We start from the raw sequence: 27,116 nt of genomic DNA on the forward strand, positions 1-27,116 counted from the left end.
TTCCTGCCAATTCCTAACTAGCCACTAAATCTGTCACTTTAGTTAAAGTATTTATGATCTCTGATAATCAGTTTCTATCTACAAATGCTCACCTATATTCCAGGATTTTCATAAAATTCAAAGAACAGTTGTGAAAGTAGTGGCCTATTCCCAAATTCCCTTATTTTCCTCTATTTATCCATAACACTTAGTAATATTTCAAATGATTTAAATATATAATTTCAATAGTTAAACAGATTGTAAAATTTCAATCACAAAGAATTAGTTTTTCAATGATATAACCCAAATTTCCAGATTAGGTTCTGGTAAGTAGTAGACATTCAAGTTTTGAAGCATATGGTACGTGGCATGAACTGTGAATAGAGCAAACTTTAACTTCCTCAAACCAATTATCCCACTGAGGAAACCAGGAAAAACTGTAGAAAATATTTTTAAAATATGTGTATGGTAATAGAGACGATAAGAAAATATTACAAAGTTACTGGACCAAGAACCAAAGAAGAAGGAGGTCTGGAAAAAAAAAGCAGAATTTCAGCTTCTTTATGTCAAGGGCATTTGCTGATTATAGAAGATTGTTCTTAACAGATTTGCTGTGCTAGTGAAACAAAAATTGGGGTCCAAGGATCCCCCATTAGAGAGCAGGTCAGGAAAGCTGGTGGATCTATCTAGGTTTGGACTGGATCCCCCAGGTGCTTTACCCTTAAAGTACAGATAAACTAAAAGTACACAGGTCCTTGTAGAAATCGGCAGTTTTGCTTGAATTGTGTCAATTCTGGAAATTGTTTAGGTTGATCCATGATTGCTAGTGTCTCCAAGGCACCTATAGGTACAAACACAAGTTCTCTCTGAATAAAGATAAAATCTATAAACAATTTTGAGTACAGTAGTATATAATAAAAAGTAACCAGGCACCAAAGGGAACAAAACTGCCTGAATGAAAACTAGTAGAAACAGGTAGTGAAAACAGGTCAAATTATACTACAGCTGTTGGAGTTATCAGGCATGAAGAAAAGAGAGAGGAAGATAAAGAATAGGAGTTGAGACAGAGAGAAAACAGTGATATGATCTAAAATACATGTAATTGGAGTCAGTGAGATAAAGAAGAAAAAAAAGGAGAACTGTTTAATATAAATGATTCCAAAACTGAAGACCTTAATCCAGAGATCAAAAAAGCCATATAAATCCCAAGCACACAATTGAAAAAAAAAAAAAAAAGCCTGTACCCAATAACATAATAGTATAAGTGCTGAAAACATAAGTAGAAATCTTAAGTAGCCAAAGCTAGGAGATAAGGTGGAAAGAATGTTTCCCTCAAAGGAATAACAGTGGACTTTTCAATAAAAACAATGGGGCCCAGAAGACAATTGAATGCTACGTTCAAATGAAAATGACAGAAAAGAAAATACCTTCCAACATAGAAATCTATATCCAGTGAAAATGTTTTTCAAAATGGAAGTATATTAATGATGTGTGAAGAAAAATAAGAACTCAGAAAATGTTTCTCTGATAAACTCATATTAATGAAAATAGTAAAATGTTACAAACTTCCTTTTTGAGGTCAGAAATAATACAAGGATATCTGATATGACAACCTCCACTCAAAGATTAGAACTGAAGAAGATATACTGATATTATCTGTCAATAATCCCAAAGATTATATTAAAAAACTATTACAATTAATAAACAAGAGTACTAAGATTTGTGAATACAAGGTCAATGTAGCATCGAATACATTTCTATTTATTAGTAACAAACAGTTAGAAAATGAACTGAAAAAAGAACACTTCCAATAACATCAAAAATATCAAATACCTAGGAATGAATAGCTCTAACAAAGGAGGCAAAAGACCTCTATCTAGAAAACTCTAAAAGAATAATGGCACATTTAGAAATTCTTTAATTTTAAAGAGGGCTTAAATAAATCAAAGAATATACCATGTTTGTGAACTTCAAAATTAATTATTATATAGATATCAGATGTCCCTAAATGTGCCTATAATTTTAGAGCAGTCTCTCAATTAAAATCTGTGTGTGCAGAGGTACTGGTGTATGGGTGTATACACTGAGAACAATCACAACAATCTTAAAAAAAGAAGAGCAAGAAGAGAGAATCTGCTTTGCCAAATATCAAAAATGATAGAGCTGCAATAAGATAATGTGATATGGGCATAAGAATACACAGACCAATGGGACAGAACGAACAGAAACTAACACACATATATAAGGATATTTGATTTACAATACAGGTAAAGGCAGAGCAGTGAAGGAAGTCTTTTCAATATCTAATGCTGCGACAATGGCTACCCACACAAGGAAAAAAGTAAAACGTAACACCCACCTTACACTGTTCACAAAAATAAACATTTTATAAAATCAATTCCAGGTGGATTATAGTTCTATATGTGAAAGACAGAGCAATAAAAATGTATAGAAGATAACATAGGAGCATATCTTCATAATTTGGGAATAAGAAAACTCTTCTTAAACAGAACATGAAAGTACTAATCATAAAGGGAAAGACTGATAATTTGGGCAACATCAAAAGATGCCATTAAGAGAGTAAAATGACAAGCTACAGAGTAGAAGGAAATAGTTTCAATATCTAGTAACCTAAAATTTTTCTACAAAATGTGAAGAATCCTACACATCAATAAGAAAACAGACCAAGCATGGTGGCTCCTGCCTACAAACTCAGCACTTTGGGAGGCTAAAGCACGAGGATACTCGAGGCCAGGAGTTCAAGACCAGCCTGCGCAAAATAGTGAGACCCCCGTCTCTACAAAAAATTAAAAAGTTAGTCAGGTGTGGTGGTGCACACCTGTACTCCTAGCCACTTGGGAGGCTGAGGCAGGAGGATCACTTAAGCCCAGGCATCTGAGGTTACAGTGAGCAATAATTGCATGACTGCACTCTACCCTGGGTAACAATGTGAGACCCTGTCTCAAAAAATAATAAAATAACATAACATAAATACAATAAAATAATAAGACTCAATCAGACACTTTACAAAAGAGGATGTCCAAATAGTCAATAAGCATATGAAAATGACTTTAAGATCATTAGTCCCAAAGAAATACAAATTAAAACCAGAGAGAGATAAAAAAAAAACACCCCCCAGAATGGCTGAAATTGAAAGAACTGAAATATCAAGAGTTGGTAAGGACATGGAACAATAAAATTACTTACACTGCTGGTGGAAATATAAATGTGCACAACCACTTTGTAGAACAATTCAGAAGGTTCTACTAAATTTCAGGATAGACATATCCTATAAATTAACAATTTCACTCCTAGGTGTATATCCAACAATAATGAGAGCACCTATGCAACCAAGAGTTATGTACAAGAATATGTATAGCTGTGTTCTTTGTAATAGTCAAAAAACTGAAAGAAATCCAAATGTCAATCAACATTAGAAAGGTTAGTGTTATTGCATACAAACAAATATTTACAGCAATGAAGATTAACAAACTGCAATGACATGTAATGTAACAACACAGACGAATTTCACAAATATGTTGAAGAAAATAAGCCAGACAAAATCTCTACAAACTATACAATTACATTTACATGAAACAGGAAAAGGTAACTTACTGGTGAGAATACTTTACAGAAGCTTGAAAGCAAGGATTATTAAAGTCAGGATAATGTACTTCTGGGTGAAAGGAGGGAATGATGTTCAGGAAGTATATGGTGGGTTCTTCTCTGTCTTGACATTCTTCTTTCTTTGCTTGAATGATGATTAAATGGCACTTTGGAATATGATTCATATATTTTTGGGTTTTGCCATTTCTCTATGTCTATATCTTACCACAAAGAAAGGTTTATAAAATTATGAAGGGATAGTTTATAAAAATATAAACTTCTCAATGGTAATTACCTCTTAAAAGGAAAGGGAATAGTGTAAGGGCATACAAAAAAGTTCAAGTATATCTGTAACATTTTATTTCTGAAAAGGAATCTGAAGAAGTAATGTCAAATATGAACAGGTTATGTCTCTTAAATCTGGTGAACATTAATTATATTATTAGTTTCTGTACATTCTATAGATTTGAAATATTTGAAAATTATTTTTAAAAGAAACTTACTATTTTCTGTCTCCCAAGGGACTCACTCAATGCATAGGGAGTTTAAAATAAATAATTGCACATTGGTTGAGGAATTGATTTGTGATTTATTTCAGTTAAGAAGAAAAAATAGGCCGGGCACGGTGGCTCACGCCTGTAATCCCAGGACTTTGGGAGGCCGAGGCGGGTGGATCACGAGGTCAGGAGATCGAGACCATCCCGGCTAAAACGGTGAAACCCCGTCTCTACTAAAAATATAAAAAATTAGCCGGGCGTAGTGGCGGGCGCCTGTAGTCCCAGCTACTTGGGAGGCTGAGGCAGGAGAATGGCGTGAACCCAGGAGGCGGAGCTTGCAGTGAGCTGAGATCCCGCCACTGCACTCCAGCCTGGGCGACAGAGCGAGACTCCGTCTCAAAAAAAAAAAAAAAAAAAAAAAGAAGAAAAAATATTCTTAATTTAACTCTGTGTCTTGCCAACACCACTGGCCTTATTCCTCCTACCAAACAGGATCCAGTCAAGCTGGCCTTGGAACGTGCTGTTTTCTCTTCGTAGGATGCTCCTCCTCAGCTTTTTGCATGACTGCTTGCTTTTCATTAATTAGGTCTCACTTTAAAAGTCCCTTCTTTACAGAAGAGAGCTTGCTTGATTGTAGTATACACCATTCCCCACCCAAATAGGCAAGTTCTGTTATATACCCTTTTTACTTTCTTCACCAATTACTGGTTTTTTTTTTTTATTATACTTTAAGTTTTAGGGTACATGCGCACAATGTGCAGGTTAGTTACATATGTATACATGTGCCATGCTGGTGCGCTGCACCCACTAACTCGTCATCTAGCATTAGGTATCTCTCCCAATGCTATCCCTCCCCTCTCCCCCCACCCCACAACAGTCCCCAGAGTGTGATGTTCCCCTTCCTGTGTCCATATGTTCTCATTGTTCAATTCCCAACTATGAGTGAGAATATGCGGTGTTTGGTTTTTTGTTCTTGCAATAGTTTACTGAGAATGATGATTTCCAGTTTCATCCATGTCCCTACAAAGGACATGAACTCATCATTTTTTATGGCTGCATAGTATTCCATGGTGTATATGTGCCACATTTTCTTAATCCAGTCTATCATTGTTGGACATTTGGGTTGGTTCCAAGTCTTTGCTATTGTGAATAGTGCCGCAATAAACATACGTGTGCATGTGTCTTTATAGCAGCATGATTTATAGTCCTTTGGGTATATACCCAGTAATGGGATGGCTGGGTCAAATGGTATTTCTAGTTCTAGATCCCTGAGGAATCGCCACACTGACTTCCACAGGGGTTGAACTAGTTTACAGTCCCACCAACAGTGTAAAAGTGTTCCTATTTCTCCACATCCTCTCCAGCACCTGTTGTTTCCTGACTTTTTAATGATCGCCATTCTAACTGGTGTGAGATGATATCTCATTGTGGTTTTGATTTGCATTTCTCTGATGGCCAGTGATGGTGAGCATTTCTTCATGTGTTTTTCGGCTGCATAAATGTCTTCCTTTGAGAAGTGTCTGTTCATGTCCTTCGCCCACTTTTTGATGGGGTTGTTTGTTTTTTTCTTGTAAATTTGTTTGAGTTCATTGTAGATTCTGGATATTAGTCCTTTGTCAGATGAGAAGGTTGCGAAAATTTTCTCCCATTTTGTAGGTTGCCTGTTCACTCTGATGGTAGTTTCTTTTGCTGTGCAGAAGCTCTTTAGTTTAATTAGATCCCCTTTGTCAATTTTGTCTTTTGTTGCCATTGCTTTTGGTGTTTTAGACCTGAAGTCCTTGCCCATGCCTATGTCCTGAATGGTAATGCCTAGGTTTTCTTCTAGGGTTTTTATGGCTTTAGGTCTAACATTTAAGTCTTTAATCCATCTTGAATTGATTTTTGTATAAGGTGTAAGGAAGGGATCCAGTTTCAGCTTTCTACATATGGCTAGCCAGTTTTCCCAGCACCATTTATTAAATAGGGAATCCTTTCCCCATTGCTTGTTTTTCTCAGGTTTGTCAAAGATCAGATAGTTGTAGATATGCGGCATTATTTCTGAGGGCTCCGTTCTGTTCCATTGATCTAGATCTCTGTTTTGGTACCAGTACCATGCTGTTTTGGTTACTGTTGCCTTGTAGTATAGTTTGAAGTCAGGTAGTGTGATGCCTCCAGCTTTGTTCTTTTGGCTTAGGATTAGCTTGGTGATGCGGGCTCTTTTTTGGTTCCATATGAACTTTAAAGTAGTTTTTTCCAATTCTGTGAAGAAAGTCATTGGTAGCTTGATGGGGATGGCATTGAATCTATAAATTACCTTGGGCAGTATGGCCATTTTCACGATATTCATTCTTCCTACCCATGAGCATGGAATGTTCTTCCATTTGTTTGTATCCTCTTTTAGTTCATTGAGCAGTGGTTTGTAGTTCTCCTTGAAGAGGTCCTTCACATCCCTTGTAAGGTGGATTCCTAGGTATTTTATTCTCTTTGAAGCAATTGTGAATGGGAGTTCACTCCCATTCTGTTTGTCTGTTATTGGTGTATAAGAATGCTTGTGATTTTTGTACACTGATTTTGTATCCTGAGATTTTGCTGAAGTTGCTTATCAGCTTAAGGAGATTTTGGGTTGAGACAATGGGGTTTTTTAGATATACAATCATGTCATCTGCAAACAGGGACAATTTGACTTCCTCTTTTCCTAATTGAATACCCTTTATTTCCTTCTCCTGCCTAATTGCCCTGGCCTGAGCTGATGGAGCTGAAAGCCAAGGCTCGAGAACTACATGAAGAATGCAGAAGCCTCAGGAGCTGATGCGATCAACTGGAAGAAAGGGTATCAGCGATGGAAGATGAAATGAATGAAATGAAGCGAGAAGGGAAGTTTAGAGAAAAAAGAATAAAAAGAAATGAGCAAAGCCTCCAAGAAATATGGGACTATGTGAAAAGACCAAATCTACGTCTGATTGGTGTACCTGAAAGTGACGGGGAGAATGGAACCAAGTTGGAAAACACTCTGCAGGATATAATCCAGGAGAACTTCCCCAATCTAGCAAGGCAGGCCAACATTCAGATTCAGGAAATACAGAGAATGCCACAAAGATACTCCTCAAGAAGAGCAACTCCAAGACACATAATTGTCAGATTCACCAAAGGTGAAATGAAGGAAAAAATGTTAAGGGCAGCCAGAGAGAAAGGTCGGGTTACCCTCAAAGGGAAGCCCATCAGACTAACAGAGGATCTCTTGGCAGAAACTCTACAAGCCAGAAGAGAGTTGGGGCCAACATTCAACATTCTTAAAGAAAAGAATTTTCATCCCAGAATTTCATATCCAGCCAAACTAAGCTTCATAAGTGAAGGAGAAATAAAATACTTTACAGACAAGCAAATGCTGAGAGATTTTGTCACCACCAGACCTGCTCTAAAAGAGCTCCTGAAGGAAGCACTCAACATGGAAAGGCACAAATTGTACGAGCCACTGCAAAATCATGCCAAAATGTAAAGACCATCGAGACTAGGAAGAAACTGCATCAACTAACGAGCAAAATAACCAGCTAACATCATAATGACAGGATCAAATTCACACATAACAATATTAACTTTAAATGTAAATGGACTAAATGCTCCAATTAAAACACACACACTGGCAAATTGGATAAAGAGTCAAGACCCATCAGTGTGCTGTATTCAGGAAACCCATCTCACATGCAGAGACACACATAGGCTCAAAATAAAAGGATGGAGGAAGATCTACCAAGCCAATGGAAAACAAAAAAAGGCAGGGGTTGCAATCCTAGTCTCTGATAAAACAGACTTTAAACCAACAAAGATCAAAAGAGACAAAGAAGGCCATTACATAATGGTAAAGGGATCAATTCAACAAGAAGAGCTAACTATCCTAAATATATATGCACCCAATACAGGAGCACCCAGATTCACAAAGCAAGTCCTGAGTGACCTACAAAGAGACTTAGACTCCCACACATTAATAATGGGAGACTTTAACACCCCACTGTCAACATTAGACAGATCAACGAGACACAAAGTTAACATGGATACCCAGGAATTGAACTCAGCTCTGCACCAAGCAGACCTAATAGACATCTACAGAACTCTCCACCCCAAATCAACAGAATATACATTTTTTTCAGCACCACACCACACCTATTCCAAAATTGACCACATACTTGGAAGTAAAGCTCTCCTCAGCAAATGTAAAAGAACAGAAATTATAACAAACTGTCTCTCAGACCACAGTGCAATCAAACTAGAACTCAGGATTAAGAAACTCACTCAAAACTGCTCAACTACATGGAAACTGAACAACCTGCTCCTGAATGACTACTGGATACATAACGAAATGAAGGCAGAAATAAAGATGTTCTTTGAAACCAACGAGAACAAAGACACAACATACCAGAATCTCTGGGACTCATTCAAAGCAGTGTGTAGAGGGAAATTTATAGCACTAAATGCCCACAAGAGAAAGCAGGAAAGATCCAAAACTGACACCCTAACATCACAATTAAAAGAACTAGAAAACCAAGAGCAAACACACTCAAAAGCTAGCAGAAGGCAAGAAATAACTAAAATCAGAGCAGAACTGAAGGAAATAGAGACACAAAAAACCCTTCAAAAAATTAATGAATCCAGGAGCTGATTTTTTGAAAGGATCAACAAAATTGATAGACCACTGGCAAGACGAATAAAGAAAAAAAGAGAGAAGAATCAAATAGACGCAATAAAAAATGATAAAGGGGATATCACCACCGGTCCCACAGAAATACAAACTACCATCAGAGATTACTACAAACATCTCTATGCAAATAAACTAGAAAATCTAGAAGAAATCGATAAATTCTTCACCAATTACTATTTGAAATTACATTTCCTTTTTTTCACCTATTTATTGTCTTACTCTCTTCACTAACAGCAAAGTCTCGAAGAGGGTAGAATATCTGTCTATATCTATATTGTTCACCACCATTTCATCAGCATGTAGAATGCCTGGCAAATAGTAAATGTTTAATAAGTATTTGTTGGACAAATGATTCAGTCGAGGCAATAAGAATTTTACTATGCATTTCATTTTATTGCCACAATATATATTTAATATATATTATTACAATTCTATACATATATAATTTAGGAATAAAAGCTGTTCTTAGGAAATTTCTCAGGAAAAATGAAATTTATTAACACAATTCAGACTGCAATCTATCAGTTATTACTACATGTTAACTACAAGCTGAAATAATTATGATTTATATTTCAAATAAATGTTATGAGAAACTTTTTAAATGTCTTTTTTAAGACCCAGAAGGAAAAGCAGTTAGAAATAGAGCCAAAGAGCTAATGCATCCTTTGTACCTCACAAGGAAATGCCATCTTTCAGAACCAGGCTCCAAAACATTACAGAGGAAAACAGAATTTTAAATGGTCAACAAAAGGAAAAAAGACATATTTCATATTTGAATATCATACTCACAAGGTACAAAAAATCAATATAGGTGGAAATTCTTAAAGAAAAGCATTTTAAGCTGTTTGACCATTTTGTAATACTTGTAAATTCTGCATGCTGAAATTGTGGTACTTAGAATAATTCAGTAAAACTAACTTTAATTTCTTAAAGTCAAGATTGTAAGAAATTACCTGAGTAATGAAGAGTTCATTTGCAAGAATCAGAAAGTTTTTAGGAAGGGAGGAAATGTCATTTCACATCTGGTTAAATTACAAAGACTATATTTCATTCTTAAGAGAACACAGAAATGATTGTTTTTAAATAAGGAAGATGCCCAGCATGTTACAGCATTGCACTGAGCAATAATAGTGATAAAAGTTTTTAAGTTAATTGCATGTTAATGACTAAGTTAAACTCAAAATGGCAATCAGCAGAAGCTAGGAAACATTTGTCTTGTTTAAATCACATAGTAACCTTTAAATATCATGAAGCAGTCACTACATAAAAAATGCAATCAAATTATAAAAGAGGCATATAATATTTTAGAATGTTTACATAAGATACAAAAAAATGGTTAAACGGAGAGAAAAACATAACAAGGAAGATGTATAACTAAGATAGTAAGTCACAAAGATAGCTGGAAAGAAGTAATTAACATTTTATAAAATGACTCTATGAAGAATAATTATCTTTTAAATATTGTTGATGGCTATTTTTAAGGAATCTCTTTCCAGACAAAGAGATATATGTTTTTCTTTTTTCTTATTCTTTAACTGTTTAATTTTTGTTCAGGTTTTTAAATTCCTACTCTCTGTCTCTCTCTCATTCTTTTTTTACCAGCCTACAGTTCCCATTGTTAGATTTTTTTTTTTTTTTTTTTTTTTTAGTTTACTTATTTTCACAGGTAAAAGAAGGAACTCTACCGGTATAATGAAAAGGTTCTCTCACATTCGAAGAAACTAATACCTTAAAAGAAGTATGCTTTATTTTAAACTAACAACTGTGATATCAGTTAATTTAATGTAATAATTACCAGTGTGTCTCACTTGTTTTCATTCACATTAGAGGCTCATTGGAAAAGTGATGAGCTGATCACTAATTGGAACTGGTTAGACTCAAGGATTATTTTTTAATAATATTTATTGACTGTATATAATGGGTATGAATTGGTGCTAAGCAATGAGAATAACAAAAAGCAAAGAAGACATCATCCCTCCTTTCAAGGGAATCAACATCTACTGGCAGAGTTTTACTTGTAAGTGTATTATTATCATACTACATGGAAACGTAAGTAGCAATCAAATTCTTAGATTAAAAAAAAAAAGTCCCTAGGTTATTCTACCCATAAGCATTTTAAACAGCTCGCTTCACATCTTTAAAACAAAACAAAATGAAACAAAAACACTCCTTGGATCCTACATAACCTTCCAACTACCTTTTATATATATTCCCCCCTTTCCTTATCCAAACTTCCTGAATGTTGTCTACACTTGCTGCCACCATTATCTCACCTCCCTCTCAGTCCTATACCCAAATTCTATCCATCCAGCTTCACTCAAGTGACCCATAAGTGGCAAATCCCATGGACCTCATTTCAGCACTCATCCTGCTACCCTTCAACAACATTTGACATTCCTGGACATGCTTGCAGACTTGAAGCACTATTTCCTCTCTTTCCTCTGGCTTTGCTCTGTAATGTATTTCATTCACTGTCTCTTTTGCGAATGACTTCTCCTCTACCAATCATTAAATGCAAGTGTTGTTCAGAACTGTGCCCTACACTCCACTTTCTTCATGGGTGCTCCATCCCCCATGGCATCAATTGCGTCAATACTCTAACCACTTTCAAATTTGCATCAATAGCCTGGACCTCAGTTCTTCTAATTGGATCTATTTATACAATTTATTTATAAACACTTTTAGTTTTATGCCAAAATTCCTTCAATATAACATATCCATGACTGCAGGCATACAATCTTTCCCTCAAGCAACCATTACTCCTTCCCGATTCTCTTTAGAAAATTGCACAATAATCTCCCAGTTGCTATGACAGAAACTTGAGACTCACCCTTCACAGCTCTTCCTAGCTTCAGCACCACTCATATCAAGTCCATTACTAACTTATCTATGAAATGAATTAATTTTCCTGTGTCTCCACTGCCATCACCTTAGTTCAAGCATCCATAGTCTCTTTCCTGGATTTCATTAATAACTCCCAGCCTGTCTCTGTACTTCCAACTTTTCAACAGATTCCTCTTGCTGCAAGCATAGTAATCATTCTTGAAACAATTCTACCTGTACCACTTTTGTGCTTAAAGCCTTTCAGTGACCTTCTGTGGCTATAAAGATACTAAGAGAAGCTGGGTTTAGTGGTATTTCTGAAGTACAATAAATAGGATTTGATATATGGAGTGCGAAAAAGAGGCAACTCTAAGACGTTTTTCAAATTAGCTTGAGATATTGAGATAATATCATTTTAAAAGACCACATTTGTGGGGCAAAGACAAAGAGAAAATGGGTTCAATATCACACCTGCTGAGATTAGAGTACATAAGAGATATTGCAGATCAGTAATCCTGGGAAAGATGGAAGCTAGAGGTAGATAGATGTCATAGACACGACTCAAATTCCCAGGAAATATTTGTAGAACAAAGAAATAAGGACCAAGAATGGAATCCTGAGGAATATTAACATTTAAGAAGTAGGGGTGACAGAAGATGAAAAGTAAAGGAGACTGAGAACAACAGAGAAAAGGGAAAACCAAAAACGATATTTGAACCCTGGAATAAGGTAAAAATGTGCATTGCTTTTTATTATACACTGAGCTCAGTTCTAAATATCTTTTCAAAAAAAATGAACAATGGCAATAAAATAAAAATAAAAATGCCTAGTAGAGTTGATCCTTGAACACCAAAGGTTTGAACTCTGTGGGTCCATTTATATGCAGATTTTATTCTGCCTCTGCTACCCCTGAGACAGCCAGACCAACCCTCCTCTGCTTCCTCCTCAGCCTACTCAACACGAAGACAATGACAATGAAGACCTTTATGATTATTCACTTCCACTAAATGAATAGTAAAATACGTTCTGTTCCTTGTAATTTTCTTAATAACATTTTCCTTTTTCTACCTTGTTTTACTGTATGAATACAGTACATAATACATATATCACACAAAATTGTGTGTTAACTCTTTATGGTACTGGTAAGGCTTCAAGTCAACAGTAGGCAATTGGTAGTTAAGTTTGGTGGGTGTCAATTTATACATGGATTTGCAACTGCTCGAGGTGTCAGTGCCCCTATTCTCCATGCTATTCAAAAGTCAATTATAATTTGGTGACCAATTTTTATAAAGTGAACTTTGTGTTTTTATATCTTAAGTAAATAGAGTTAAGTAAATCTTGCTTCTTATTTTATTATACATTACTATTGATCCATGTAAGGCCTTTTCTTATTTCCTTCTTAGCTATACCCACCATTTTAATAGGTGATCATTCTGTTGTGTTTAGTGAATCCTTTTTTATGTGTTCTTGTAAAATGTGCTCTGATTAGTGGAAAGCTATTATTAATTAAATAAGTAATACTGTGTGATATATTTCATTATGTTCCTTTCTTTTTCACAGGCATCTTTTTAATATCCATTCATTGTTGTGTTTCTAATTCATTGTTTCTAATTGCTACATGGTAAGTTACCATGATGTACAATCATCACACTTTATCCATTGTTTTAGTTAGTCCAGGTCACTATAATAAAGTACCATAGACTGGATGACTTGAACAAAAAACACTGATTTCTCCTAGGTCTGGAAGCTGGAAGTGAGAGATTAGGGTGGTAGCATGGTTAGGTTCTGGTGAAGTTCTCGTTCATGTTGCAGACCTCCAATTTCTCTTTGTGTTTTTATATGGTGGAAGGTGAGCCAGAAAGCTCTCTGAAGTCTGCTTAATGAAGTCACTAGTACCCTCCTGACCTAATTATCTCACAAAAGCCCCACCTTCTAATACCACCATATTGCTGGTTAAGATTTTAAGACATAAATTTTGGAGGGACACAAACATTCAGTCCATAGCACCTATCTACTCTCTCCATGATAGACACCCAGGTTGCTTCCAACTCTGACCAACAACAATAATATTGCAATAACATTTCCATTCACAGATGTCCCCTTATGATCTTATGTAAGAACTTCTTTGGCTTATACATTCGGTGGCAGAATCGATAGGTCAAAGTGTATGCATATACTTAATTTCAGTGAAGATTGCCACATTGCTCTCTGAATGGCTGGCTCAGTCTACACTCCCTCCACAAGACATATGGGTTCTTGTATCCTCAAATATCAATCAAGAGTTGACACATCTATCTTTTTAAATTATGGCTAGGCTAATCAGTGAAAAGTGATATTTTAACTTGCACTTCTGATTGATAATTATTTTGAGCATCTCCAGGTATTTGATTTAGTTTCATTTTATATAAATTGCCTGTTTTAAATCTTTTATCCATTTTTTTTGCTTATTTAGTTTTTTCTTATTGATTTGTTGTGTTTGTCAGTTTTAAACTTCAGATATATTCTCCCATTGCATATCTGTCAGATAGATCTGTCCATGGTATCTGTATTAGGTTCCTAGAGCTGTTATAACAAAGTACCACAAACTGGGTGGACTATAAAAAATAGAAATGTATTCTTTGTAGCTTTGAAGGTTACAAAAATCAAGTTCTGACAGGGTCATGCTCTCATCTAAGTCTTCAGGGGAAGATTATTCCTTGCCTCTTCAAGATTCTGGTGGCTTCTGATGTTCCTTGGCTTGAGGCAGTATAAGTCCAATCTCTGCCACCATCTTCACAAGCCTTCTTCCCTCTGTGTTTCTCTGTGTATCTGTGTGTTCACATGGCCTGCTTACAAGGGCACCACTCATTGGATTTGGAGCCACCCTAACCCAGAATGGCCTCATCTTAACTAATTACATCTGCCAAGACTCTATTTCCAAATAATGTTACATTCTCAGGTTCTGAGTGGACATAAATTTGGGGAGAAAAGGGAGGATGCTATTCAACCTCATAAAATGTCCTTCTTTAAATAATTGATTTTTTCATAAATTACATTGTTCTATTGAGGGAAGGACTCCAGCCTAAATATTCATTAAATAACACTGTTGAAACAAGATTTTATACCTATAAATGTGTGTGGTATATAACTATTGTTGTCTTTCTAGCATGTAGCTAGAATTCTTGTGGCTTAAGAGATGCTAACTGTACCTCTGGCTTAACCCTGATTGAGTTAATCTCCGTGGTTATAGAAATGTATTCAGGCCTTGACACATCACTCAACTGGGGGCAATGAGACATTTGCTGAGGATATCTGGAAAAGAAGCTTCTTCACTAGTCTAAAAGAACTCCCGGAAGAGAGTCTCCATTCTCATTGGAAGTGACCCAGACTTGTAGCCCCTTGAAGCTCCTGACAATTATTTTACTGTTGTGATAGAAGCCAGCCTGAGGACTAAACTAACACAAAGTTGGGAAAATCCATGAGCATTATAGATAAATTGATGCTGAGTACTAAGTTTTAGATTTTTAGTTAAGTTGATATAACTTTTTCTAGGTGAAATAAGCAAGTCAGAGTTCCATCACTCTCTAGCTATATGGCATTAAGGCAAGTTACTTAATCTCACTAAGCTTCCCTTTCCTCATCTGAATATTGGATTTCTACAGTGTCTAGTTCATAGAGTCTCATGAGGACTAAGTAAGAAAATGTGTACAAGGCACTCAGTCCAGGATTGATCAGTTTTAAGTGTGAGGTAGTTGTAAGATAATATTTATTGGTATTATTATTATTTGCATCAGTAATATAATTATTATTAGATTATAGCAAACCCAGGATGCACTCTCAAATCAAAAGTCTAGGCTTCTCAACTGTTCAGGACAAAAACCGACAGGGAGCATACCTTAAGAGTTTCAGCAAACGTCAAGACATGGTTCTGTTTTTTGGTTCAGCAACATTTTGGTTTTTTTGTTTGTTTGTTTGTTTGTTTGTTTTCAGTGCAACTGAAGACTAATTCACGATAACCAAAAGTCACAAAAGACTGATAAACTTGAGTAGAAAGTTATTTCTCAATACTTGTGATGATAACAGCCAAGTGGGCCAAATGATCCTTTTCATCTGATCAGAACCTTTCATCTCCTATCAGAAAATGTAAGTGGAATGACAATTACTTTAAGTAGGTCATTTGGTAGACCCTGAATCAGAGAAAATTGAGTTATCTGGGAATTTTCTATTGTATGGAGCTATTAAGCTCTGATAGCCTAATGTACCCATCTCTACCATGGGGTAAAATTGACAAGGAAGCCACTGGACTCACCATGCTGTCTTTTTAGGAACCATACCCCTGCATATGACAGGGACAAAGAGAAATATTTGTATACTTCAAGATTCAAATTTTCCTATGCTCCACGTAAGAACAATGCTCCATTTAACACAGCCTTATATAATCATATAGCACAAGTGATTTTGGTACTTCCCTCTTCATTGTGTCCCGGTCCTGAGAATAAATCCTAGATAGCATCAGACTATTCTAGTCTCCTAAGCAATACACTTAAAAATTATTCTTTTGTACAGAGATCATATCTTTGTCATTTTTCCATTTTTATTATCAGTCACTGATTTTTATCTCCAAATTTAGAGGGCCCCTATGATGGCCCTACATGCTATCTGCGATGTTCTTTATTCTAGGTCACTTTTTCTGTTTTAGTAGCCATCATCTTTGTAGATACTGAGGAAAACACTAGCTTTCAAAATCACACACCCACACAATGTCATTGACTATGTGGAAGTCAGCATGCCTTGGGAGTTAGGCAATGTCTCAGTCAGAGCTGAACTCAAAGAGGAAAACTTCCACAATTATAAGCCACAGTTCTGTAAGACTCTAATTTCTTCTATATCCCCCTTCAAGCTATGCCCACACCCACCACCATGGCATTCTCATGACAAGACGGCCCAAGTAAAAGGTTTCTTATATTATCTTATTCTGGAATATTTTTCCTCCATTTTCTAAGTTAAAAGCTCTAATGCATTCAGCATTGGCTGATGAAGACCCTGCTAGCTAAATTCTATATATCAGTGAGGAAAGGTCTCTATGAGAAAAGTTTTTAAAAATTCACCTAAAGCACTGGTTCTCAAACTCCAGTTCATAGACCATTGCATTAGAGTTTATAGCATACTTGTTAATACCACAGTTATTTATTTATTGGCAAACAGACAATTCCTATTTTGGGCAATAAGCCTGGCTTAACAGCAAGGACACAGCTGTGAAGATGGGAGGTTGAGAGGGCTGACTTGAGACACTGTTCATTGTTAATGAGTCAGTTATCCAAGAACTAGACTTTTTTGTTTGTTTGTTTGTTTGTTTGCCTAGAAGATCAAGTAAATCAGGATTTCCATGTTTGGAAACAACTGTTATAAGGCAATTAGTTGGAAACTATAAGAATAAAAGAAATAAGAGAAGAACAATTACAGAAATTCTAGTCATCCATAGCTATTGTGCCTTGAGAAATAATGAAAGATACCTGCTGGAGAAGGGGGTATTGGACAGGGACAAAAAAAAAACCTGCCGGAGAAGGGGGTATTGGACAGGGACAAAAAAAAAAAAAAAAAAAAAAAAAAAAAAACCTGCTCTTTCCATCTCAATTCACTCCAGTTTTATTTAAATAATATCTCTCTTTATGCTTATTATTAAGCCTCTGTTGCATGAGACATCTGAAACTTTAACTTACTAATATTCCTCAACATAAAGTGTTACATCTAAAATTGGAAATACCCCAAAATAAGCACACATTTGTTTCTTACCAAATTTGGTAAGTGAGGTATATTGTAACAGAATTCTAAAACACGTTGATTATTTTCATGACTTAAAAATAAAGACAACTGTTTACTTTGCATATAGGAATTTCCCCATGCAGGCAGTGTATTTTATCACAGAGGGTAAACATATGAGAGGTAAAATATTGAAAAAAAAAGTTGCTCCGAAATGTTTGGGGGAAAAAAGTAAGCTAGCAAAAGAGAAAACATTTTTTTTCTTTATGAGGAAATATCAAGGAGTGAAACAAGCAAGCAAACAAAAGAAGAAAAAGGGAAAATAAAACACAACTGCACACCCAGAGGGGCAAGAGACAGAAAATCTATGTAGCCATAAATAAACACCTTGTCAGAGAATCTATACCAATCCAAAGAGGCCAATTTGGGAAGTGGCAGCAAAGTAGGGAAGGCTCAATCAAACCAGATATTGAAAAGAAAAAAGCAACCTATAAAAAAGATAGGAGGTATGCACTGACTCTTCTGTGAGAATGATTACACGTTGAATCTACTGGTTTTCATGTTTCCAGGGAGTTTTGATTTTTAGGGCTTGAGATGAAGTGAAACAAGGAAGTGCCTTTCCCTGTCCTATTAGAGCTCTAATTCCCCTTCAGAGCAACCAGAAATCATCTCAGATTACCTCTTCCAGTTCACCCGCTGTCTTCATTTTCAGGCTAATCCCATATTTTTTATTTCCTGGCCTATTCTCCTCCATTCTCTCCTATTGGGAGCTAGGCTGGTCAGACTGGAAAGAAAAGGCAGAAGGAAGGAAGTACTGGGACGAGAAGCAGAGAGGACTCTCTTACCCTCCAGGGAGGCACCCGCTATCTCCCTGTCACAAATGGTCACCTTTTGTTCACTTGTCTCTGTGTTGGCTAATTTTATGTGTCAACTTCACTGGGCTAAGGGATGCTCACATAACTAGAAAAACATTATTTCTGGATGTGTCTGTGAGGATGTTTCCAGAAGAGATTATCATTTGAATAGGTAGACTGAGTAAAGAAGACCCATGCCCACCAATGTAAATGACCGTCTTCCAATCCATTGAGGGCCAGGTGAGAGCGAGAAGTCCAAGTAAGGGCAAATTCTCTGTCTCTCTTCTTGAGCTGGGACAGTCATCTTCTTCTGCCCATAAGCATTTGGTTTCTGACTGAGAGTTACACATTGGCTCCTTTAGTTCTCAGGCTTACTACAGACTTGAAATGAATCACACCACTGGCTTTCCTTGTTCTCAAGGAATGCTTGCAAACAGTGTATCATGGGATTTCTCAGCCTCCATATTCACATGAGCCAACTTTTTTTTTTTTTTTTGAGATGAAATCTCGCTCTGTCACCCAGACTGGAGGGCAGTGGGGTGATCTCGGCTCACTGCAGCGGGTTCCAGCAATTCTCCTGCCTCAGCCTCCCAAGTAGCTAGGATTACAGGCATGCACCCCCAAGCCCATCAAATTTCTGTGTTTTTAGTAAAGGCAGGGTTTCACCATGTTGGCAAGGCTGGTCTTGATCTCTTGCCCTCAGGTGATCTGCCTGCCTCAGCCTCCCAAAGTGCTAGGATTACAGGTATAAGCCACTGCACCCAGCCGAGGCAACTCTTGTAATAAATCTTCTTTTATATATCTATGTATTGTCTATTGGTTCTGTGTCTCTGAAGAACCTTAACTAATACAGTCCATATCACTTCTAAAAGCAGAGACCATTCTGTGTAGTTGTCCACTTTATCCTAAGTCTTGAATAGGTAAATTTCAAATAATTTTACATTAAGAATTTTAAGAAAAGGTACTTTTAAAATCCTACCCAATAGCCAAACACCCCAAAGGTTTTGTGTTATTTGACACTGTGGCAGAGCTCCCAGATCCAGTGGGAAGAGTACCAACTAGAGGAAAACCTTTCCCTACAATCTAACTATCCAGTTCCTCAGCGTCTCAGAGCTGGGTAAGCACTACATCAACAAGTGCTTGTCCAGACCCTACCATGATATATTAAAATCCTGGGTGGCATAAAATACCTGTCACATAGGATCAAAACCCTGAAAACTTTACAAAAAGTAGAAGAACAAGATGTGAACAAGAAACAATTAATGAACCATGCAGGATAATATATTCAATACATAATGGTGCAATTTAAGGGTTAAATTATGTGAAATAATTAGTGAATATACATGAATATGACAAGTACAATATACATAGAAAATACTTTCAAACCAAGTTAAAAAGAAAGGTAGAAGCTATTAGATATTATTTAAATTCAGAAGATAATTATGGTGTTAAGAAAGGTTTAAGATAAAAATTCTGAGTGTTGTTATTAATACCAGAAGATTAAATAAACAGCTAAAGACAATTTCTAATTAGGTAAATTTCATTCGTATTTCTTAGAGAATATTAACCTTCTTAAGGTATTTTTATAAATTATAAACCTGAATATATAAGAATATTTTAAATTAGTAAGAGATAAGGTATTAATCACAGTTTAGTCTTCTCTTTAAAATCTAACAAATTTTAGCTATTTTCAAAATACTCTAATTTTGCTCAAAAATTTATCTAAACTATTTATTCACTCCTGAATAAAAATGCAATACAAATTAAAATTTATTTTTGTTATCAGAATAGAAGGCAGATATAATGGAAAAAAATTGTAATTACCCATAATACTCAGACCCAGCCATTATTAACAATTTGGAATATATTCTCTAGTCTAGTTTCTATATGATACTCATTTTATTTAAAAGGAATCATACTATATATGTTATTTTTGCCTGTTTTCTGTATCAATTTATCATAAATATCCAAAAATATATACTTAAGACCCATAAATTTTTAAGATTTTATGTTAAAACTTATTCACATAAATTTTTCCTTCAAATGTAATGTATTACTTAAGTGGTTCTACTTTTTCCTCTTCATTTACACTCCATAGTGCATACTTTTTTAACAGTTATAAAATCAAAATCAGTCAGAATTATCACACACTGGAGTCAAGTGTGGTGCAGAGAAGCAATACCAACCTCAAGTACCAAATCAGAGAATGGCCTGAGATGAGAGGTCACTAAATCTGAGTTCAGCTCTGGCTCTGCCACTGTGCACTTATGTCCACTTAGGCAAGTCACTGTCCACTTCAAGATCTATGGATGAGACATTAAATGACCTCTGAAGTTCAATCCAGTCAGAGCTCAGATACTGATATTCTAGAAATTAGAATACAAGTTGAGTTTAAACATGCAGTGTTAGTGGCTGGTCTCCTCAAATTTCATTGGCCTTGGTTTGAAAACTGTTTCCATTCTACAGGTTGCTGGAAGGGTTGAGTCCATAATGAAATCTATGCAAAAAATGGCTAAACAAAATTTTGGCCAGTGTTGTAGAACCTGCTCTTTCAGGGTTAAAAAAAAAAAAAAATGGCTCTACTGGAGAATCTATTTTGGCTTTTAAAACAATGTCAATCAAAACCACTATATTCTCCCATTTTCATATGAATGACTTTTCCTTTCTAAATACTTATGTTTGTCGTATTTTAAATATGCTAGAAGTTATTTTTAAACATAAACAAACACTGATGATATCTGCCTATGTTTTCCATTTTTAATATATAAATACAGACTACTCAGAAATGACATATGAATAATCAAAAAAACTCCAGAAAACAATTACAAGGTTTTGCTTTCATCATCTGAGATCTAATTAAACAGATATTTGTACTTATACAACATGTTGTAATGTATTAGTAGATGCTAACAAACAAAAATTATGTTATTATGCATTTAATTATAAATTGATAGTCTCATATAATTGGCCATCAGCACTGACCAACAGAACTTAGGTGATGGTGGAAATATTTACTATCTGTGGTATTCAAACATAGCTACTATTGAGCACTTGAAATGTAGGTAATGCAAATGAAGGACTGGTTTTTAAAAGTTACTTAATTTTAATTAATTTATATTTAAATAGCCACATGTGGTTAGTGGCTATCATATTTGACAGCAAGATATAGACCAAGCTTGTCCAACCGCAGCCCTCAGGCTGCACACAGCCCAGAACAGCTTTGAATGCAGCCCAACACAAATTTGCAAACTTTCTTAAAACATTATGAGATGTGTGTGTGTGTGTGTGTGTGTGTGTGTGTGTGTGTTTTAGCTCATCAGCTATTGTTAGTGTTAGTGTATTTTGTATTTGGCCCAAGACAATTCTTCTTCCAATTGTGATCCAGGGAAGCCAAAAGATTGGACACCCTGAAATGGATCATATATGGAACAGAAAATTTAATTAAGTTCTATCTTTCCATAGAAAAATATTTATAAAACATCTGATGAACATGATATTTTTCCTTCCGTAAGAATATAAAATGATCGAGTTAACTTTACGATTTATCTGAAAAAAAAAATCATAGAAAAAGTTATTAAAGTATTAATTAGTTTTAGCTCCAGACAAAATAGTTCTCCATAAATTACAGTTTAAAAATATATGAACTTCTACTTTTGCTTTAAGGACTTTTTGTTAAAATAACAAAACCATGGCTTGCCCAAAAAAATCTTAGCAACTTAAAGTATACTCATTCTTTTCAGCCTCAGAGCATTTAAATTCAACTTATTTTTCTTTTTTCAAAGTATTTATATCTAAATATCAACATAAATAATGATAAGCGATCAGGCAAGGTACTGAGGGTTTAAACTTCTCTTATTCATAATATGTTTATAATTAAAACAAATAGAATTAAGTACACTACTTGGGTTAAAACAATAATTAAGAAAAAAGTAGGATTTAAACTTTTTTAAAAGTTAAAATTCCATGATTTTAAAGCTATTATAAACAGTAGCTTTCATAGATCTTTTAAAATTTTAGTTAATTAAAATATTTGTTGACTTTCACTTGACAAATTTTAAAACTACATAAAAATATGCCCATGCTAATACACTTAAGGATACATGCAATGTACCTCACAACACAGAACAAGCTGGAAAGCTGTCAAAATCTTCAAGAAAATAAACCACAAAAACTTACATGTTTTTAACAGTTAATTAATTGGAAGAAAACTGACAGTTTTTGCCCCAGAACCAAAAGCCAGCATTCCTTTTGGAATGAAAGGTGGTCCTAGTGGGTGAGAGATGGGAAATGAGGGTGAAATCACACTACAGAAGCTGGGAAGAGTGGGGTGTTTATTCTCGGGTACTAGGGCCAGATGAAGATCTTTCTAGGTTTTAAAAGATTTAAGTGTCCCTGCTCACCCATTCACGTAATTCAAAATAAAACAACATGGTAAAACACAAACTTTACAGGCCCATTGAAATTATAATTATTGATTATAAAATCCTGGAGAAGTTAACAAGGTTTCGATTTTTTTCACATTTTTGTGCTCTTGAAAACAGGCAGGTTGGGGTGGAGGGTTCCGATGACTAACACTTGATGACTTACCTAGTACCAGATAAAGATAGAGACTAGCTCCTATACAAGAATGATTGAAGTACACCCCTGATAAAGTGATCTAAGGAAGCCTGGTACCAATCATAAAATACTGTGGTGATGTTAAAGAAAAGTTCCTAGGTTCAAAATTTGGCACAGAGAGCAACCCATTCTCACAACCCTTGTGAGCAAGTTTAGACAGAAGGCCTATTAAATGTGAACTGAATGCCAAGCTCCAACCCCAGATATTTCCATCTGCTTAAGACCCAAGGAATCTTAATTTTATCTAGAGAGTAGACAAAATACAGTCTCATCTCCTGCTAAGACAAAGAAGAGGAGGGGAACTCAAAAGAGAATACCCTCGATTTAGGAACATAAAGGAAGATGATATTTCTTACATACAGAGTTTGGAGGATCCTGCTTCCTGCTTTGACATGAGGCTTGCCCAGTATGCTATAAGAATATCATCACATTAGTCACAGAGCAAGTCTTTCAAGAAAGATGTTGAGTACACTTGGGACAGGACTATAGATAAGTTGTATGGCTGTTGTACCTGCTTGGTAATAAATATATATGAAGCTGCAGTTGGTGTTAGATTTTCTTTCATTGTGACTGACCATCTAGAGTGAGGCTTCAGGGTGGAAATACTTATACACTACTGTGGTCTATAAACACCAGATGCTAGCATATTCACCAAAAAGTAGCCAGGCATGGTGGCACATACCTATAGTCCCAGTTGCTGAGGAGGCTGAGGTGGGGGGATTGCTTGAGGCCAGAAGTTGGAGGCTAGAGCTGTAGCCTCCAACAGTTGGAAGCTGTAGTTGGCTACAATCAACAACTGTGATTAGCCACTGCACTATGGCCTGAGCAACACAGCAAGACCCCACCTCTAAAACAACAACAAGATTCTGACATTCTCTGAATGAAGAAATTGACTTGAGTGACTCACATTTTTATTTATCTATAATTTTAATTTTTATTAGTACCATAGTTGCACTTACCCATATTTTAAACAGAAATAGAAAAGACCTTTTTTGGTAGGAGGAAGAGCACGGAAGACAATAAGGGAGCAGAGAGCTGTTAACTCGTCTCTCTCTAAATTTTTATTGTGTGAAGGAGAAAGAAAGCCATAAATCTATTTAAAAACACATCTATGGCTACTATTACAGAAAACATAAGATGGGAGCAATTAAAATCCAATGCAGTTGAAGCGAGACTGCTGTCCCTACTGAGACATTATCAGCTGAGCTTAACTATCTTAAGAGAAAGGACAGAAAAAAAGTGCTTTCATGTTTAGTACCTAAGTATTTGTCAAATACAGTAAGAGAAAAGAAGGGAAGATAATCATGCTAAATAAAAAAGTCCCAAAGATAAATAGTTGGAAAAACAGTAATTCTTCTTTTTGATCCCTCATCTGCCAACTCATTGCCAGGAGAGTTTAGCAAAGTTGATACCCTAAGAGAGAGCCACCTACTAAGAATAATATATAATGATAGATAGCAAATAGAAAGAAAATGCAGGAGAGGAAGAATTTACATCTTGTCCAAATTATAAAACATAAGGAGGAATATGTTCACAAGGGAAAAAAAAGTTAGATTTGCTTGACTAAACAGAATTTATACTATAGAAGCAGATACTGTTATATTAATAAAAAGATAAAATTAGAATGCTAAAAGCGATTTCTCATGATACAAGTCTTGAGTGGTATTTAAGGCATTTTAGAGATCTGGTTAAACGAGGGGAAGCCTCATAACTGTGTTGTGTACTTGCAGCCTGGCAAATAGTATGTCCATAGCTAACACATCCACTCTAATGACACAGAAATGAAATCATTCTGGAAACGAAAGACAGATTTAAGTGACTGGCTATGAGTTTAATCAATTGAATGAGTGCATCACGAGACACAAAACTCCATTAGAGTTACTATAGGTACCACTTACTAAAAGGACTTGGCTAATCAATACATTAGAGAATACAGATATAGAACAATAATCTCTAGACACCCTAAAATTGGTAGAAGAATGTTCATAGGTAACTAGCTTTACATTAGTCATTCTACAACTGGGTCCACTTTAGCAATTAGCAATAAGCTAACTAGAGAAGAGTTGTGGAGAATTACAAGCAAGTGAAAGGTCACAAAAGATAAAAATAATGGTGAGTAAAATGAAGCATTTTTAAGATGTTACTAGGAAACCTAATCTAAATTTCAACATTAAGCCACAAGGGGAAAACAAGTGGAGAGCAAGACTTGGAAATCGAGTTCCCCAAGGCAAAATAAATAAAACTAAAGATGGCATGAAATATTTCAATTTAAGAATGCTGTAGTCTCCTTAACACACAGAGTCGATAGAGTATTCTGAAATGCATATCCCAGATAAAATCTCTTATGACATACAGGAACTTGAGTAATCACGTAATCAAATGAGTTTAATACCTAAAGTATGTTCTTATCAAATAAATAACTTCAAAATTTTTAAATGGCCAAATTTCAGTTCTAGCCATGACAGAAGAATGGGCATTGGATTACCATCTCACTTTGAACAATTAGAAATATGTGAATCAATCATTATTAAAAATTGGACACCAGACAATCCAAGGTCTGTGATTTTTTTACAGAAAGGATACAGATGAAATGAGGTGCAAAGTGCAGCATAGAAAAGTATCCTGGAAAAAAAGCAATAGTCTTGCTGGGTAGGGAAAAAAAAATACCAGAGTTAATGGCTGCTGAGGCATCAGAAACTTTTGGGGTTTGAAACCAGAGAAGAGCAAGCTATACAGAGAAAGATCTCCAGAAATCTGCAGAGATGTCTGAGATTTTGGTACAATATTAACTTGCGTCTATACAGGGCAAGACTTCATGAGGCATGGTAGAGAAGAGTTACTGGGGACTTGTACTGAATGGAGGCCCCAGAGATTACACAGTGCTGACAGATATTAATGTTCTGATTATCCAGAATGAGTGGCTTCACTGAACTCCACAAGCATTCAGTTACAAGTCTAGAAAGGCCCCACATTAAAAGTAGTATTACTTTGGCCTCAACAGCATAAAACCTACCAGCCAGTAAATTAGACAGCTGCTAGAACAAAACTCAATACTCTTTAATAAAGACCATGAAATATGGCTCTCAACAATGTAACATCACAATATTCAGCATGTAATCAAAATTAGTGGACATGCAAAGAAGCAGAAAAATGTAATACATAGTGAAGAAAAATAAAGTATGTAAAAACACAACCAATGATGACAAAAGTGTTGTAATTAACAAGTAAGGTATAAGAAATGTATTCAAATACTTAAATATATAGACATAATAAATAAGTGAACAAATAGGAAACCTAAGCAGAAAAATAAAAATTTATAAAGAACAAAATTGAAATTCTATATCTAAAAATTTCTGAAATTAAAGAAAAAGACTAGATTTTTCTCAATAGCAGAATGGACACTATGAAAGAAAAGACAGAGTAATAGAGTCTATCTATACAGAAGTATAGAAAAGAAAAAAAGAAAACATTGAGAAGTAAAACAAAATTCCAGTGACATCTGGGACAATAACAAGAGGACTACCATACATGTAATTGGAGTGCCAGAAAGAGTGAGACAGAGGTGCAGAAAAAATATTTGGGAAATTAAGTATTGAAAAAATTCCAAATTTGATATAAGCTATAAATGCACAAATCTGAGAAGCTCAACAAACCCCAAGTAAGATAAACACAAAGAAAACAGCAACAAGACCTATTATAATCAAATTGCTGAAACCCAGTGATGAAAAAAATCTTAAAAGTAGCAAGGGGTGGGAGGTGGGGATCAGATTATATAGAAGGGAAAAATAAGAATATCTGTTTACATCGTATCTGAAACAATGTTCAACAAAAGACAGTGGAATGGCAAATTTGAAGAGCTAAAAGAAAATAAATGTCAACCTAGACGTCTTTATCCACTAAAAGTATTTTTCAAAAATGAAGGTAGGATAATGACATTTTTCGGACAAATAAAACAGTGAATTTGTGGCCAGTACATTTGTACTTAAAGAAATGGTAGTGGAAGTTCCTCAGGTAGAAGGAAAATAACATCAGATGAAAAATCAGATACACACAATAGAATGAAGAGTACTAGAAATTCTAAGTACGTGGGCATATATAGATGTCTTTTTCATTTTAAAATTTTCTTAAATAAAATTTGGCTAATCAATTACTAACTTAAAAAATGAATAACAATGTATCTTGAGAGTTGTAACAGATGTAGAAAATGTATAGTAACAATAGCACAATGAATAATTGAAGTGAAGTGGAAATTGTGGTAGGCCTAATTACAAAAATGGACCCGAAGATTTCCTGCCCTAATCCCCAAACAGGATTGTTAAAATGATAAGC

At 35.4% G+C, this 27,116-nt stretch overlaps 1 long non-coding RNA gene across 1 annotated transcript in view; it reads right to left on the minus strand.

The window, feature by feature from the left end:
* The window catches only part of LOC105375631 (LINE-1 retrotransposable element ORF2 protein-like), a 30,905-nt gene continuing 3,789 nt past the window's right edge, over positions 1-27,116 (minus strand). Inside the window, exon 2 of the long non-coding RNA XR_002956667.2 lies at positions 1-27,116. This exon is cut by the window's right edge and continues 1,703 nt beyond it. This is a non-coding gene — a long non-coding RNA (LINE-1 retrotransposable element ORF2 protein-like).

This window comes from Homo sapiens, chromosome 8 (genome assembly GCF_000001405.40).
Source record: "Homo sapiens chromosome 8, GRCh38.p14 Primary Assembly".
NCBI lineage: Eukaryota > Metazoa > Chordata > Mammalia > Primates > Hominidae > Homo > Homo sapiens.